Source organism: Homo sapiens, chromosome 15 (assembly GCF_000001405.40).
Source record: "Homo sapiens chromosome 15, GRCh38.p14 Primary Assembly".
NCBI classification, from domain to species: domain Eukaryota; kingdom Metazoa; phylum Chordata; class Mammalia; order Primates; family Hominidae; genus Homo; species Homo sapiens.
The window spans coordinates 70,045,803-70,063,323 of NC_000015.10; the positions used below are offsets into that span (position 1 = coordinate 70,045,803).

The window sequence follows — 17,521 nt, forward strand, 5'->3', positions numbered from 1 at the left end:
AAGCAATTCTCCTGCCTCAACCTCCCAAGTAGCTGGGATTACAGGCGCCCACCACCAAGCCCAGCTAATTCTCTTATTTTTAGTAGAGATGGGGTTTCACCACGTTGGCCAGGCTGGTCTCAAACTCCTGACCTCAGGTGATCTGCCCACCTTGGCCTCCCAAAGTGCTGGGATTACAGGAATGAGCCACCATGCCCAGCCCATTTGTTTATAATTTGATGGCAACTAAAACATTAAACCTGGCCTCTGACAACTGTGGCCCTCCATTTTTTAAAAAACAGATCTTGCTTTGAGCAAAAACAGCACAATAGAATTGAAAACACTCCAGACATCATTTCACTTCTCTGGGCTCGGGTTACTGAGTATCGGATGCCCTGGGTATCACGCCAGACACTGTGAATTAGGATAATCTCAAACTGGTGAAAGCTCATCATTCACTAGCACTGCCCTGGGCTGATGAGGTCCTGCGCACTGCCCTCCAGGGAAACTAGTCTAGGTGGGAAGAGACAAGCAAATAGGTGCAGGAACATGTTGTAAACGCTATGGTTGCTACAAGCCTGGATTTCTGCATAAGAGGAAAGGAACACTTGGAGGGTGATAAAGGCCAGAAAAATGGCATCAAAGCCTCCTGTCACCCTGTTAAGTAAAAAGGGGGCAACATGGGGGGATTAAGGATGGGAATAGGTTTACCATGGAGTGGGCCCCTCCTTTCAGACTGGAATGCTTCACAAATACTGATGTGCACAGGAATCGCGGCAGCATGTTAAAATGCAGATTCTGCTTGGGTAGGACTGAGGGGCTCATTCTAGATTTCTAACACGCTCCCAGATGTGGTTCGTGCCGCCAGCCAGGGTTGGGTGGAAAGCAGTGGAGTGGTGGATGGGGAGACGCAGCAGGAGGAAGGAGGAAGCACGTGCAGAGAGGCTCAGTGCAGGGGAGGCCCAGTGTGCCGGCATTAAGGACAGCAGCAGTGGGAACACAGGTCAAATGAAGTAAGGGGCTGTATCATCTCCCCGACCTTGAACTGTGAGCTTCTGTGGCAGGGACTGACTCTTGGTCATCTCTCCATCCTTGAGTGTGCCCAGGAAATCTCAGTGAACAGACTTGCAGAGGTTCAGTCTCTCCTCAAAGAGTAACATTGGCCTTGCTTTCCAATAGGACAAGCCTGGGGGGGTGAGTATTCCCTGATGGACATTTTCCTCTTCTGCCAAACTGGGGCCTGCAAGCCCCAATTCCACCCTGATCTTGGCTCCCATGGGTAACCTCATGCTCTGGACAAACACACAATCTTATTCTGGCCAGAGCCTGCTCCCAGCCCCCTAGCCCTCTGTTGCAATGCCCAGAGATGGACACACGAGAAAGGTATGGTCCAAGGAGAGCTGTTTGACTCACACCCCTGCAACCATTTGAGGCAGAGCTGTAGCCCACTGCAGCCTGTCTGGTCCCTTCTACCTGCTGGCATTGTCTCCTCCATAAGCCTGAGAGGACCTCCCTCTCCAGCTAAATGACCCCTCTGTGTGGAGAGAGGCCAGTTGTCCCTTCTAGTCATAAAGACTGTGCTTTATGCTGAGACTGTCGTTCCTCTTTTTTTTTTTAAATGTGAGATTCCCTTTCTTGTATGAAATGACAGCAGGCAATTGTTTGTGCTGAGAATGACTTTGACAAAATAAGGAGTTGGAAACCATGTTAATCTCCAGTGCCCTGAGAGCTTTTGCTAATGGGTGCATGAAATCCAAGAGCCTGGGGACCGCCCCGGGAATGGGCACCAGCATTCTCCTCTTCCCGCCCAGCCCCCCGACTCCCTCCCTGGGGACAATGACCTGCATTTCTGGGTCTGCCTCTTCTGCAAATGCTTCCTTCTGTATCATCCAAAAACACACCTTTGTGACCTAGAGATTGAAGATCTCCTCGTCCCACCTAAACGTGTTAAGCTTAAAATAAAATTGTGCAGGTTTCCAAGGTCCAGATGTTCACAGACACTTTGCAGTTTCGCTTCAAGTTCATTACGTTTAATTTTTTTCCAAAAAAGTTTTGCATTGACAGCTGTACAATACTTTGGTGTTAACCTGTGGTCTTCCTTCACCTCAGTGAACTCTGCCCTGCCCATCTGTCCAGAGGAAGTCTTAGCTCCTACCCCCCACCCTCCCTGGCGCTTGGATGGGAGGCGACACAGTATGGGATTGTGAAATCCCTGCTGCGATGCTGGGTATCTGGAAGGGGAGAAGGGGGTGGAAGCAGCGCAGGGAATGCTGTGAGATGAGAAGAGCTCACATCGATGGGAAATGGCCCTGGCCCAGGCTCCAGAATGTGACAGCAACAGTGGCCTGGCTGTTTTCCCGGGGGGCGGGGGGCGGGACTGGCAAACTGGGGGGAGAGGCAATTAAGACGCAACAATCAAACCAACCTTTAAATAGTAACTTTTAAAAATATAAAAACAGTTCAGTACAATGACTTTTCATTCTTTTTTTCTTCGGGAATAACTTTCTTCTACCCTCACCCTCCCTTCTGGCTAGAGCCTTAACAAGAGGTGGCAGATGGACATCTGAGACCCAGAGAGACTCTGGACGCCCCACGCGCCCAGCCTTGGAGAGGCACAGGGTGTGTCGCCAGCCTCCACATCCCATGCCCGGTGCGCTCAGCTGGGGAGCAACCTCACTGAAGGTGGGTGGCTTTCCCTGGAGCCCCTCCCACCTCCTCAGCAGACGGAATCACACATTACAAAATAATCCATAAAAATGCAGTATAAAAATTATCTTCGATATGCTACATCCATGGAGAGCCTGCCACCAGGACTCACAGCGGCCTTTAGCTTTTCTTTAAAAGGAGAAAAAAAAAAAGACCAAAAGGAAAAAAAAAACAAACAAAAAAAACCCAACCCAAATCCTAACACCTCAGAACATGTTGGTACCAAAAGGTGGCACCTGCCAGAGGCGATAGTCTACCTAACCTGTTTGGGCCACAAGAGACTGCAATCTGCAAGAAATATCCACAGTGTGCCAGGATCTGTGTCCCCCTCTCCCACCCCCCAACCCCCACTGCTCTGCCCAGGGTGGGGGTGAGGGGGATCCTCTTTTCAGACTCACAACCCTGTAGGTTTATACACTTTCCCCCCTCTAAGGGGAGAGGAAGAGACTGTAGGCGGGAAGGGGGAGAAGGCATTTTATAAAAGGACATCACTTCTAATTCTTTTTATTCAAATTAAAAAAAAAAAAAAAGCACCCACATCAGTTGCTATTTTTCTCTGGTAGCTCCCTGAGCTGAGTTGCTATGCTGTCTTCTAACTTTTTGTCCTTTTTAGGCTGTGTCCCAAGATTCAGAAGAGCTGGAGAGGGAGTTCCTTTGAACTTCCATTGCTCACAACAATAACTAAGTGTGCACCAAAGAGAAAGACCAGGCTGAGGAGGAGAGAGGGAGAGACCAAGAAAGAGAGACACAGAGAGGGCAAGAGGCAGCCAGAGTGCAAGAGACCACAGAAAGCTCCATTTCTGCGGGTGTCCGCCTGGACGGGCCCCCATCTCAGTGCCTTCCATCCCTCAGTCTGGCCGGCTGGTTATCAGTCCGGATGCCCAGACCCGTGTGGAGGCACACGCATTCCAGCAGGCACCTTACGGCCAACCTGGTTGCCTTTTCCACACTCTAAGACTTTTCTCCTCTTTCTTCAATTGGTTCCCCTCCCTGTCTCCTCTTCCCAGGTGAGAGCATCTGTTTATTTAAAAAAAAAAAAAAAAAAAAGCCACCACCACGAGTGGATTACAAATACAGCAGGCGAAATACACACTCAGAGTTTCCGGTGGGAAGGGGCCTCCTCTCCCACTGATCAGTCCGCAATAGGAGTCTGTTATTTACATTTTTCACAAATCTTGTGCACTGCACAATCGGCAAAGAGAGACCCCCCCATCCCCCAGCACAACATTGTGGTCCACTCCAGCACCCCCGACCCAAGGTGAGGGACAGGGCAAAAGAAAAGGGAAGAACAAACAGAGACTCATGAGCGGGTCTGTGGGGGAACCGGAGCCATAAGCCTCCAATAAATCTATTTGTAGCAACTGCCAGCATTGTTCAGGGGGAGGAGGAGGAGCAGAACCCTTCCGAGTCTGTGAGACACATCAATCCAGGCCCAGGAGTCCAGACTGTGACGGGGCACGTGCCCTCTCAGCCGGCCGGAGCGCAGCCCTGAACGCTCGGCTGCCTGCGGCCCATCCTCCGCCATCCTCGGGGCCCCTCGCCTGGGGGTCTCCCTGTCAGAGCCGAGTCGGTTTCTCCCAGAGTTTGACAGCCCTGCTGGAGTTCTTGTTTAGTAGATGACCTCATAAACTGTGGCCTTCTTGTCACCAGAGCCTGTTACAATGTATTTGTCATCCGCTGAAATGTCACAACTCAAGACAGACGAGGATTCTTTAGACTGGAGGAGGAAGACGAGGAGAAGCAGCAGGAAGGCGTGGGGTGCAGGGAGAAAAAAGACAGGAATTCATTTTCCAGTGCTCAACACCATCTCGGTTCTCTCGGCAACAATTGCCCTCCTCTGCCCCTCTCTGATGCTCCGACCTGGAGCACAGTGCGGTGAAGAGGAGGTGGGGGAGGCTTTAAAGCACCCATGAAGCATTTTCAGGTAGAGCTCCCCTCCCACCTGCTTTTCCATAAGGAAAAGCTCAGTAACAGTCTCCCACGTGATCTTTACAGTAAGTCATAATGATCAGAACAGGACGCTTTAGCAAGAGCTTCTCCTCCGAGTTTACAAATAGGAAGAAGCATTTCCAAGCTAGGAGCTGGCGTCAGCAGCTCAGGCCCACAGCCTGATGAGTTAGGAAAAGGATTGCCACCTGATGTTTGAAGCATGTGCTGTAACTAGAGACCCTAACAATGAGGTTTGACACGCTGCACACCAGACATTTCAGCCTGGGTCCAGAAAGCGGCATGTTGGCTGAGGGAGTGAGAGAGAATGCAAGTGTGTGTGTGGAAGCGCAAGAGAGAGAGAGGAAGAAAGTGTGTGGGGGAGACCAAGTGTGCGTGAGTAAATGAGTGTGAGTTTGATCGTGTATGGGAAAGAGTGCACGTGTGTGTGTGCACACGTGTGTGTGCCAATCAGTGCAGTATGGCAGGCCCCAGATCCTGGTAGATTATAAAAAGCCTCTTCCTTTCCTCCTCTCTTTCCTGTCCATGTCCCTGCTGGTGCTGAATGCAGGTGGAAACACTCACTCACTTGAGGAGGCAACACTGCTCTGGGCAAGGCTGCCGGGTGCCCAGGTGCCCAGCGCACCTCCCGCAGGTGCTCAGCATCCAGCCCAGAGCAAAAACACTTATGCTATTCCTCACTCTCCAAATCCGACAAGCGCCCCGGCTTAGAAGCCCTTGCCCTCGGGGGTCAGAAGCCATCAGTAGCAGATTGTGTGTCCTGCTGAAGTCCCCAGGTCCTTGGGAGAACCCAATCTTGCTCCCCTATCAGGTAGGGGTGGGGAGGGGACCAGGGCAGGTCTGATCCTGGCTCCAGGCTCCTCCTGTTCTTCCTGCTGCTATCCTCACTCCCATCACCATCACCAAGTTTCAACTCTGGGTAGAACCCAGAGGAGGACTCAGACGGTGGGCAGTACCTGGAATATGCTGGCTCCATAAGGCGTCCTCCAGGCGTTGAGAAGGTTATCTTTCCCAGTGCTCACGAACCACTTGCCTGCAGGTGGGAGGCAAAGGCATGATCAGGTTGTAGCTCACTGCCCTCTAAAGCAAGACCTGCCCTAGACATGGCCAGCTGCCATAGAAAAGCAGTGAGAACTGCTAACTAGTATAACTCTCCAATTTCGAGAGGCATTTTGCAAATGGGACATGCGGACACCTGGAGAAGGCCTTTCTCTGAAATCCAGGGGGAGGGCTGGGCGGGGCTAGGATGGGAAAAGGTAGGATTTGAAGTTCATTGCAGTGATAACGCTGCCTCAAAAGATTCTTGTTAAAGCCACTAAGGTTGACTGGCCTTTCTAAATTCTACTACTGGAAGGCAACAGGAAATACTGAAAATATCCAAGCCCTGGGAGTCTGGAGACCTGGCTGAAGACAGCAGTCAGTGGGCGACCTTCCTCCAAGCAGGAACTCGGCCAGGGCTCTACAAGTGTTAAAGCCCTTATGCTCCCTGAAAGCCATGAGCACCATGCTATTCCCGACCAGAGAGAAAAATCCACTAGAGTTCAGAGAGGGTGAGATGTTCAAGACTGCACAGCTTGTCAGTGGAGGAGCAGACATTCCCATCCAAGGCTCTCAGATGCCAAAGCAAGTGGTTGTAACCATGGAGAGGAACTGCCTGCACTGCTACTGTCCTGTTCCTTTGCCCCAAGCCTGCAAGAACTGGCTCTGGCCTAGTGTCCTGAGAGTTCAATAACTCATGGTGACATCTGCATCCGAGAAACAAGGATGTGGAACAAGATCACTTAAGGGTGTTGAAGGGGCACCAGCTCAGGGGTCAGGAGGCCTGGTTCCAGGGCCTAGCTTATTCTATAAGCTTTGGGCCCCTCTTCTGTCCTGTTGGGCCAGGCTGCCCTGGGTTCCCCACCCCACTCCATCAGGCCTGGGCCCATCCAAGGCTCACCGCAGTAGGCGAACTTGAGGGAGAGCACGCAGCTCTCGTGCAGGTGCAGCTGGTACTTGTCAGGCTTGGTGTGGTGCAGCACCTCCACGTTGCTGCTCTCCATGCCCACAGCCAGCCACTCCCCAGTGGGGCAGTAGCCCAGCGAGAAGATCTGCAGGTGGTGGGAGGGCAGATGGACTGAGCTCAGCATTCTCTGCCCTCAAGAGGAGGGCGGCTCCCAAAGGTGCTGCTCAGGTCCTCTGAGGCTCAGGGTCCCTCCCCACCCACCCAATAACCCAGGAGTATGGGAGGTCATTTTCCATCCCCATTTTATAGGTGAGAAAGCACAGACATTTTGCATTCAGTTACTCTGTCTCTGAGACTTTCATCTTTCCTTAAGAAAAAAGTGAGTTAAAAAAAAAAAACTAAAATATTAAAAATTTAAGATTAAAATATTAAAGTGAGGAATGCAAATAAGAAATAATAATCCCTGGCATTTACTGAATGCTTTCTGTGAGTCGGGTTTATGGCTACGCCTTTTAGAGGGATCATTTCAGGTGCCCACATCAGACCTAGGAGGGTGCTACTATTATTTCCATCTTGTGAATGAGGACGCCGAGGACAAAGTGCTCAATAGCAGCAGAGAATGAATCGAATTTCCACAGTTGGGCCAAATGTGTCCAACCCCAAGGTCATCTCCATCTGTTTCACTGCTGCTTCCTCCAGGAAGCCTTCCCAGATGGCTCAGGTTGGTCCCAAGTCTCTTGGCCGTGGCCACTCTGTGAGGGTCCCTTTGTCCCTGACCCAGCCACTGGGGCCCCGGAGGGAGGGAACACACTGCTCTTTGGGAAGGGAGGAGTCTTGGGCCGCACACCTGGGAAGTGAAGTCATGCTGCTGTAGCTGTCGGCCCTCCCGCAGGTCCCAGGAGCGCACCGTGTTGTCCAGGCCCCCTGTCCACAGTTTGGTGCCATCATGGGAGATGTCTATGCAGCTGGCCCCATCTGTGTGGCCCTGGAACTGCCTACGAAAGCCAAGCAGGGAGGAGGGTGAGTCCCGGGAACCACAGACTGCCAGGTGGCGGCCATCCCAGGGGCAGTCTGAGCAGAAGAGAAAACTGAGGCCCAGAAGAGTGCACTATGCGCATGGTCCCTTAGCGAGCTTGCAGCAAAGCTAGCCCCGGCCTCTTTCCAGTTCCAGGCCTCTTTCCAGTTCCACGGAAGGGTTTGCCCAGGGACAAGTCCCCTGGGAAATGGGGGGGGGAGGTGAAAAAGGGACCTTGCACTAGCCTTCTGAGACTGAGTCCCTCCAGGGTGGGCCTCTGGAGGAGGTGGAGCTGGAGGCTCAGGAAGGTGAGGAAGGCAGGAAGGCCCTGGGGAAGCTACGTGTGAGATGACTGATAAAGAGAATGCAGGGCCCCACTGCCTTTAGGACACAGCTCCTTAACTCGCACTCCACACGCCCTCAATTTGCCCTCTTAATCTATCTCTTCATCCTGCATGAACTATGGGGCTGAGGCCATCCATGAACACGCTGAATAACACACACAGCCCATGTATACAAGAGTCAGCTGGGCCAGGCACCCGTCTGCCTTTGCGCTGCGGCACAGTCAGAGGAAGATGCTCCACTGTCACTGTTTTACACAGGAAGAAACTGAGCCGCAGGGGTTCAGCGACTTGCACTAGGTCATAGTGGAGGCAGGATTCAAAGCCAGCAGTTTTGTCCTGAGGCTTGTTTAGCTACCACGTGATGTGGCTTCCCAGTCGGGTCTCCCTAATCTGGTCTCTGGGGCTCTGCTCCCAGACTCTCTGCTTGCTCCACTAATCTGACCTCCACTTCCCCAGACATGCTCCAGCTCCACTTTCTTCCCAGAGCCCTCTCCAACTCCTGGGCCCAATGGCCCTCCCTCCTCTGTCCCTCGCATAAGGCAGGCGGAGCTGTCTTTTCACCTGTGCATCCCTCATCCCAACGGTTCTGGCCACCCCACAGTGCCTCAGACAGGGCCAAGGTCACAGCAAACAAGACCAGGCAGGATGGGTAAAAACTTCCCCAGGACGAGGCACTAATGCTCCCTCCTGCCGGCTCACCTGACCAGGGTCTGGTTGTGCAGGTCCCAGACAGCAATGTTCCCATCGCTGCAGCAGGAGAAGCAGACTTTGGCGTCAGGGCTAATGGCCAGGGCATAACAGGCGGGAGCCGAGGACGTCAGCTCGGCCTTGATGCGGGGCGTGGGCGAGGCCAGGTCCCAGATGGTGAGCGTGCTGGCCTCGCCGCCCACGATGAGCGTGCGCCCATCAGGGAGCAGCTTGCAGGAGCGGATGTAATTGTCCCTGTTCTGGAGGGAGAAGGGGCAGGGCTGAGTGCTGCCTACTTCCCCTCCTGGGCACCAGGAGAGTCCTGTCCAGCAACACCGAGCACCCTCACCAGTCCTGCTTACAGCCTCCCCCTATACCCAGCAGCTGCCAGGCTGTCCCCATTCCTCAAATTCACAACCCTTTGATCTTTCATGAATACCAGGAGGTCAGAATCAGCCCCACACACAGAAGGCACAACTGAGGCTCAGAGAGGTTAGTCAGCTTGCCTAAAGTTGCTCAGCCAATACGATGCTGAGCCAGGCCCTGGGGCTCTCCCCTGTGGCCCAGGCTGCCCCATCCTCCTACACCAGCTGGAGGCGGCGCAGCAGCCCTGGGATTCTCACCAGGCAGTCCAGCTGGGAGATGGGGCTCTTGCTGCCTGGCTGGCTGATGTCCCAGATCTTCACGCAGCCCTTGCCACCTGTGTAGACGTGCCTCGTGGGGTTGCTGATGGTCACGGCACACACCACCTCCCCGTGGCTGAGTGTGTTGATCTGCCGGGCGTGCCTCGGGATGCCGGGGCCTGCCAGGGCGTCGTGGGGGAAGGGCACGGGCTGCATCTGCCCATCAGCACTCACATGGAATGAGTACGCTCTGAAAAGGTGAGAAACCGTCACTGCTGCCATCCACCCCGGCCCCTCAGAGTTCCCATAGGCCTGGCCCAGGTCATCTGCACTGCCCCCGACTGGCTGCCCTGCCTCTAGCCCCCTCTGCTCTGAAACCATTCGAACCCAGTAACCCCATGTACTGGGATGGCTCCATCGAGGTAGACATGATTAACAGACCAGCTTTGATTTTTACACCCAGTTATATATCCTTGCTTCAAATCAGACCAGAAACCCACAGGTGTCCTGGAATGCCCTTTCCCACGATCCATACATTCCCCCAACATGCCAACCCTGGAAAGGGCCTGGCTGAAATGCCACCTCTTGCTTTAGGAGCCGGTGGTATTAGGGAAGGGATCTGCTTGCCCCTGCAATAGCAAATGGGAAAGTCCATGTCAGAGCCTGTGGTGAGCCAGCCTGGCCTGCCTGCTGTTTCAGGCTCTGGTGGGTGCCCTCTCAATCAGCATCTAGATTCTCGTTGACAATTAGAGGACTGTGTCAGGCAGTGTCTCGGCATTATCTGTAGGCTCAATCTTTTAGTTTCCTAGCAACCCAAGGAAGTGAAGGGCCGGGGAGAGTGTGCCCTCCAGGGGAGGGAAGCACTGCTGACAGGGAAGGGCCTGCGACCAGCGGCACTGGGGCCTTCCCAGCAGGTCGAACCCAAAGGAGTCGGCAAGGCCCACCACAGCTCCAGGTGACTCGGTGAGGAGTGTTCCTTCTCTCCCAGCCCAGTGGCCATGTACTTAGCTAACTCCATGGCTCCTCTGTCGGAGGGAGCTTCTGTGGGTGCTCAGAAGTGTGGCTTGGCTACAGTTTCCTGGGGTTGCAACCAGCCCTCGGTGCCTCTAGAGGGACAGATACCTTTCCAAAGGGAGGTGCACCAGGGCAAACCCTTGGTCAGGGGATGAGGGGCGTTGTTGGAATTGGGGGTAGAGTGCTCTCTCCTGCCCACCCTACAAAGCATGCAGTAAGTATAGCCAAAGCTTACGGTTTTCCTCCAGGAATGGAGGCCAGGCTTGAGGGGAGGCCTGTGGCCCGCATCGGGGGGTGAGGGTCAAAACCAACCTGTAAAGCAAGGCAAGACAGCCCTCCATCAGCCGTGCTGCCACACACCCCCACCCCTGCCTCCTCCACCACCCACCCGGGGTCCTACCTGCACGGCTCTGCCACTTTGTAACCCAAGAGACAAGCTGAGCAGAGCAGAGCCCATTGATTCAGAGGAGACACAGGCCCAGGACAGCCCGTGGCAGGGAAGGGGTGACAGTGCAGACCCCACTGTGAACCAGCATCCTCCCTGTTCTGCAAGGCAGAGCTGGCCCTGCCCTACTTCTTTCCTCTCCTGTGGTCCTAGTGGGCCTGCCAGTGGAGAGGAGGCCACCCCAGGTCCAGGAGGTAAAAAGGAAAACTGTCTCCTGAAAAAGGGCCCCTCTCCCCGCCAACCCTAACTCTTCTTTTTATTTTTATTTTTTTGAGATGGAGTCTCGCTCTGCCGCCCAAGCTGGAGCGCGGTGGTGCAATCTTGGCTCACTGCAACCTCTGCCTCCCAGGTTCAAGTGAGTCTCCTGCCTTCACCTCCCGAATAGCGCCTGCCACCACGCCCGGCTAATTTTTGTATTTTTAGTAGAGATGAGGTTTCACCACGTTGGCTGGCCAGGCTGGTCTCGATTTCCTGACCCCAGGTGATCCACCCGCCTTGGCCTCCCAAAGTGCTGGGATTACAGGCGTGAGCCACTGCGCTCGACCCCTAACTCTTATTATTTATTCACCACAATAGAAAGTCTTGTACAACCAGTCCCATCTACGAGACCCCTGCTCCATGGACATCACCTGACTTGCCCTGGGATTCCTACCCCCCAGAGCTGGGAAAGCCAGGTGTCAGCCCCGTTTTGCAGACTAAAAGGGAGGCTGCCTTGCATGAGGTCACAGGGCGGCTCACAGGCCAGTGGGGGATGGAACTCAGGTCTGCTGGCCCCAAAGAGTGTACCCTTCCAGCCAAGTCTCAATTGTTTCCGATACACCTTCCCACAGGGGCAGCTGCCTGGCCTTGAGACCCTGAGGGGCCCCTTTAGCATGTGGGGAGCACCCGTCCAACCACTGGCTCCCCACACCACGCCCAGTCCCCAAGAAAGGAGCCAAAAGGTCTACGTACAGCTCCAAAGCTCACCATTGGCGATCGGCCATAGGCAGCGGCTGCAGCAGCGGCGGCGGCGCTCATCTGGGGTGGGATGTTGTGGAGGCCGGCGTAGGCGCCAGGACTGGTGAGGGAGCCGTTCATCTCATGGTGGCTCATCATGGCGAAGGGCGCCGCATAGGAGCTGGTGATGGAGATGGGCGTGCGCAGAGCCGAGGCTGCGAGGGGTGGGCGTCAGGGAGGTGGGCCTTAGGTGGATTGGGACATGGCCATGGCCGCCTCACCCAGCAATAACCCTCCCTGCATTCTTAAGCTGCCTGCTCCAGGCAGTCCTCTCAGACTGAACCCACCCAAGTGGGATCCCTGCCTTCAGAGCCAAAGAAGCTTAGAGCTTGGCAGATGCACCCACCTCTTTTTACAGAGCAGGATATGGAGGCCCAAATGGGCTTGCTTAGAGCCTCACTGGACTAATGACAGGGGTGGGAACAGATTTTGGGAGCCCTGACCCGTCTGATGCTGCTTTCATGTCTGGCCCAGCAGGGGTCCCAGAAACCCTGGTGTCACCTCCTCAAATCTGACCGTGAAGTCCCCAGGGGCAGGCCCTGGGAGACACTGCCTGTGCTCTATCCCATGCGTGTGTGTCACCCCTGCCCTGGCCAAGAGCAGACCCCCTCCCCCCAATCAGATTAACCCAGCCCATGGTGCCTACCCATTATACCTATCGGGTCCATGCCCGGAGGTTTACCCGGCATCGACCTGAGCCCTGGGGTCGTGCTGGTGCCTGGAGTTGGGGCGTCGTTCCTTGGGGTTGGTGTGTTGGACTTGAGCCCAGGGGTGGAGGATTTGTCGTTCTGAAGAGGGGAGATGCAGAACAAGGGAGGCCATGAGGCTTCCATTCTCCTAGGAGCCGGGCACAACTGGTGCCGGTCCCAACGTGAAGCCCAGAGCCAGACCCTTATGAAGCTTCTGCCGAACAGCCTCTCAATCCTTGCCCAACCTTGTTTGGCAGGGACTGGGGTGATCACTCCCATTTTACAGACGTAGCAACCGAGGCTCAGAAACGTTAACTCATTAGCACAGGCCCAGCAGGCACAGAAGGTAAACCGGGGCCAATCACCCACCCAGCTTCTCCCACTCCACCCCTCTGCCTGCCAATCGGCACCACCCCAGCTCCAGTCCCTGCCGCTCCCTTCCCACTCCCTTCCACCCAGACCCCACATACATGACCAAGGTCTTTGGTCTTGGAGGAAGGTGTGCTACTGGAAGAGGCCACCGAGGCAGGGCTGGTGGGGGCATCTTTTTTCAGGCTACGGGCCTTGTCCAGCCCATTTTCAGGAGGGGAGTGTGCCGGGCTGACCCGGGGCGTTGCGGGGTCCTGAAAACACAAGTGATGCAGAGATGCACTGAAAGCAACAGCCAGCCTCGAGGCTTCCCTGCTCTGGGAGTGGGAAGAGAGAGGGCATGGGCGATGGGAAGACGAGCTTGGCTGAAAGACTGGGGGCCCCACAGTGAGGAAAAACTAGCTCTTAACCATCTGGTCTGACTGAGGCCTAGGGAGGGTGGAAGGATGGTCTTCCCAATGTCAAACACAAGTTCAGGACTTCAATCAGCATGGCTGGGTTTGGCCAAATGTAGATGCTCTCCAGCTCCTCCTCAGGCCCCTGAGGCTGAGACCCTGGGGGGACGGAGGATCACGGGGAATAGAAGATGGCCCCTACCTGGGATCTTTGGGGGTGTCTCTCTGGAGACCCATTGCAGGAGGCCCTCCAGGCCCATAAATGCCCAGACACCATGCAGCAAAGCCCTGCCCTGCTCCTCTTGACCCCCTGAGACCCCAAGACTGGAGGCCTTGTCTCCCTGCTCAGGCTGCCAGTAATACTAGAACAGACAGAATAGATCCCACCCTGGGGAGGAATAATTCCAAACCATGCCAAACCAAGAGCCCCCTTGCGACCGGGCCTGCCCATACCTCATTGGAAACATCCACCACCAGATCATCACTCTTGTCTCCATCACTGTCCTGCAACCAAGAGAGAAGCCAACTGGTCAGTAAGAGGCCACACTTTCCCCACCCCTGACTGAGCCCAAACCACCCTGTCCTTCTACTGGCCAGGACCTGAAGCCAGGCCAAACCCCAAAGTCCATGCTTTCTACTCCAGCCCTGCCCTTCAACAGGCTCCACTCCAGCTCAACACGGTCTCCCCGTGAGGCTGTCCCCTAGCCCAGGCCCCGGGTTACTCCACTCCTGTACCCACTGGGCAGCCGCACTGACACCCGCTCCATCATAGCAGTTCTAAGCCCCTGCCCCCACAGCCTGCCCTTCTGCTTCTCTCTGAAGCCAGAACCTTCTTCCCAGCTGGTTTTACATCCACCATCCTTCACAGTCAGTGTGCTGCTCTCACCTGGTCATTCCCACCCATCTGTGTGGGATAGTAACTTGCCTCCTCTCACAGAAACACAGCTGAGTGTCCTTTGGGTGCTCAATGTGTCCAAAGCCACACAGCAGCCATGTGGCTGAAGAGGGCTGGGTGCAAGACCGCTGAGGCCCTGCACCATATCCTCCCCTTCCCTCTGTCCCAGCTCTCAGCCCTGCACAGCCTGACACAGGGGAAACACAACAGCCATGCTTCCACTAGGGTCTCACGTGCCGGGGGCATCCCATTAAAAGGCTAGTAAAAGCCATGACTGGGTGGCCAAGTGAGTGCATGCCTCAGGCCAACTGAGAGGACTATAGGGTCCACATTTTGGGGGTCACTGGGAGCAGCCCCTTAGAGCCAAGTGGGATTCCGGCAGCACCATGACAGCAGCATGGGGTTGTTGGCCTGTCTGTGGGAAGAGACCCCATGGAGGCTAGGACGACCTCCCCATCCACCTCCGCCCCACAGTGGCTCGCATGCTCATAGCGTGTGTGAACTTCACCCTAGCCCTGTTCCCACCCTGCTCTCCTCAATAGGGTCCCCTATCGCCAACCTGTGCTTCTCTGACTCACTGCCAACCACAAGAAGACCCTGGCCACAGCTTGGGCCCTGCAGACACCCCCTGCCCTACCCAACAGAAACCCCAGTGGTGCCATGGCGCCTTGGACGTACGTATCGGCTCAAGCTGTCCTTCTCCTCCGCCTTCCGCTTCTTGGCTTCCATGCTGTAGTCCGCAGAGCCCCGGTGCTTCTCACTGGCCCGGAGGCTTTCCGAGGGTGACACAGAGTTATTCTGGAAGGAAAAAGAGGGTTCGGGGTTAAAACTTTCTGCTGCGTGTAACAATTCACACATCCGCACACAGCTAAGTGCAGGTGACACGGAGGTCAGGGGAGGGAAGAGAAGCTGAACTCCTCTCTGCCCTGCAGATCGTGGCTCCATCAGAGCCTTGCCAGGGAAGCCTTCCCCACTCCCCTGAGACTGAGTCCCCGGGGAGATGCCCTGGGCGCATCCCCAATTCTCTTTTGCAGCTCTGCACTGCTATTAAATAATTAACCCTGCAGTAAGCCGTCTGCCTTCTGGCCTGTGGGACTACGCTCTGTGAGGGCGAGGGTCACCTGGGTCTCATTCACCACCCATCTCGCGCTTGCCACACTCATTTGCTCAAAGGAGGGATAAGTGGAATTTGCACTGAGTCTTGTAAGATGGATCTGAGCTGACAGGCAGGGGCCATGAGCAATACTTCATTTGCTGAGCCCGACAGGAATGGGGAGATTGATAGGGAAGGAGGGCGTCAGGCAGCCACCAACTTCCCAGTGGAGATGAGCAGCCAAGCGTTCTGTGTGAACACCCCCGCCTCCACGGTGAGGCTGTCAGCAACTCTGGAGAAACACCAGGGTTGTAAAAAAAACAAAAATGCCACGTCATGAAGCCTTTCCCTCTGACAGACAGGGAAAGGAGCAAGGGCAGGGACAGTCACTGCCTCTGTAGCCATCACCAAGTGGAGACCCCAAGAGGTTGGTGAATGTGCCCAAGCTCCCCTAGCAGAAGGTGGCACAAAGGGAACCCCAAAATTTCGTGAGTTCTCCCTCAACTATAAAGCAAATGAGGATGAGAAGCCTTTGGGATGGGAGGCCTGGGAAGAGGGAAGATGACGGAGTAGTCCTAGGGGTTGATAGTGGTCAGAAATCACCATGTGGCTGTTACCACCGAGCTGGGGAGCAGGGAGGGAAGTGCAACTGGCAAGGGCACCTGCCAGCAAACCTCTGTGCCCAGAGACTAATATCAGGACCAATGCCCCTCTATGATATTGGTGAGGTTTACTCCTTTCTAAGAGTCCAAACTTTACCTTCACCCACCCACCAATTTCCGAGCAGCTGCCCTGGGTCAGCCCTGGTGCTGCAGGCCAGGAGTGGCAGAATGAATGAGATACAATCCCTGCCCTCCAGGAGCTCATGGTCCAGCTATGATGGAGCTGGAAGAAAAGGACAGGCCATCCCAGGTCCCAGTCCCCATGCAACACAGGAGGTCATATGGAGACCCAGAGGGACATCTGTTCAGAAGAGAAGAGCATCAGAAGGCAAGTGGAATGAGGCTTCCCTTCTCTTCTCCACTTTCCCAGAGGCCAAGCGTGGCTCAGGGGCAAGGGCCACTTGGAGGGAACGGGGCTGGGCAGTATTCGGTGGGAATAGTGCGGCAACCAGCCTCAGAACTTAATTTCCTTTCCTAAGCCGGGTTCTGGGCAGCCCTACCCGGCCAAGTTTCTGCCCGAAGCAAATTAAAATGGCAGAGTTATCAAGCCTTGAAGAAAAAATGGAGGTTATAATGGAACTGCAGCTCAACCTTCCCCACAGCCGTGCAGGAGCGGTGGCGATGCGCGCACAGCCACAATTCAATTAGCTGCTGCAATCGCCGGCAGAAAAATCACCGTCATTTCATTTCATTTCCTCTGACGGTGGTGGCCACCCTGTGCTAAGCAGAAATGCTTCCAGCCCCTCGCACTGGCTGCCCCTTGCAGGCGGGCGGGCAGGGGAGGGGGCGTGCGGCTGCTCGTGTTTCTCCTCGCGACCCGGTGCTCGGCTCGGGAGAACAGCGAGCTCTTTCTTCTCATGCAGTCAGGCTGAAAACCCTCGCCGCTACCGGAGAGTCATGTCAGGCATTTAGCGGCATCGATCCAGCCCGCCTCTGGCTGGCAGGCGGCCAAAAAACTAAGTATTTTTTATTGCTTCGGCTAGGCAAGGAAATATGAATGAAGCTACCACTAATTGGACTCCAGACTAACCCCTCTGGGACAGCTTCCAGCCCGTCCCCCCATCCCCCCTCCCACTCTGACACAGCCCTGTCCTTCCTGCCGTAGGCCTCATCTGTTGACAACCTGGTTTCCAAAGCCTGATTATTTCAGTCTACACCGCCGCTGACACCGTCACCACGCCACATGCCATGCGCACAGCCTCGGCCCTGCCCACTGCTGCCTCTGCCCAGCATCTTGATTCATTCCCACTGGAGTTTCCTGAGGCCCATGTGTGCCATGCATGGACCTCAGCGAGCATGGTAAACAGCCCAGCTCTTGGGGGTTCCCAGGGGGGGTCTTTTAGCAGAAAACTTTCACAGATGGGGCACAAAGCCAGAAGCCAATAGGGATGAGGATGAGGTAAAGACTCATGCTCTTTAGAGAGTGCTGGGCTTCCCACTCCCCCTCCAATTCCACTGAAGTGGGTCCCTGCTAGCCAGGTAATCTGGATCCTCAGTCAGGTTATAAAGGGTCTTCCGAAACAAAGCTGAGAGGTTGGTCAAGCAGGAATTATTCCCATGGTATGGATAAGGAAACTGAGGCTCAGAGAGGCCAAGAGAACTACACAGGGCCTCATAAAGCTGGGACCAGACCTCAGCCTTAAAATGTCCAATCCAGGCCTCCGCCTATCTAGGCAAACTGCCTCTCCGAAAAAATGCCACTGTTAGAGGATCAGTA

General features: G+C 55.0%; 1 protein-coding gene across 24 annotated transcripts in view, besides 1 other annotated feature; it reads right to left on the bottom strand.

Annotated features, from left to right (window-relative positions):
- Positions 1-1,987: 1,987 nt before the first annotated feature.
- The window catches only part of TLE3 (TLE family member 3, transcriptional corepressor), a 50,128-nt gene continuing 34,594 nt past the window's right edge, over positions 1,988-17,521 (bottom strand). For 5 of the 24 annotated variants that reach the window (XM_011521982.4, XM_011521980.4, NM_005078.4 and 2 more), the window contains 12 exons: positions 14,728-14,847; positions 13,608-13,658; positions 12,861-13,013; positions 12,348-12,489; positions 11,657-11,856; positions 10,496-10,572; positions 9,247-9,496; positions 8,636-8,883; positions 7,425-7,572; positions 6,572-6,722; positions 5,589-5,665; positions 1,988-4,402 (listed from right to left, as the gene is read on the bottom strand). In XM_011521982.4, coding sequence (XP_011520284.1) covers positions 4,295-4,402; positions 5,589-5,665; positions 6,572-6,722; positions 7,425-7,572; positions 8,636-8,883; positions 9,247-9,496; positions 10,496-10,572; positions 11,657-11,856; positions 12,348-12,489; positions 12,861-13,013; positions 13,608-13,658; positions 14,728-14,847 — 1,725 coding nt within the window. In that variant the 3' untranslated portion in view covers positions 1,988-4,294. The other 19 variants (XM_047432993.1, NM_001438837.1, NM_001282979.2 and 16 more) reach the window with 7 other exon arrangements.
- Positions 11,556-12,056: an enhancer, noted in NCBI's record as "H3K4me1 hESC enhancer chr15:70349697-70350197 (GRCh37/hg19 assembly coordinates)". NCBI's record gives its function as "activates a minimal SCP1, AML or CMV promoter by ChIP-STARR-seq in primed H9 embryonic stem cells {active_cell/tissue: H9 hESC(primed)}" and the evidence as "EXISTENCE:reporter gene assay evidence [ECO:0000049][PMID:30033119]".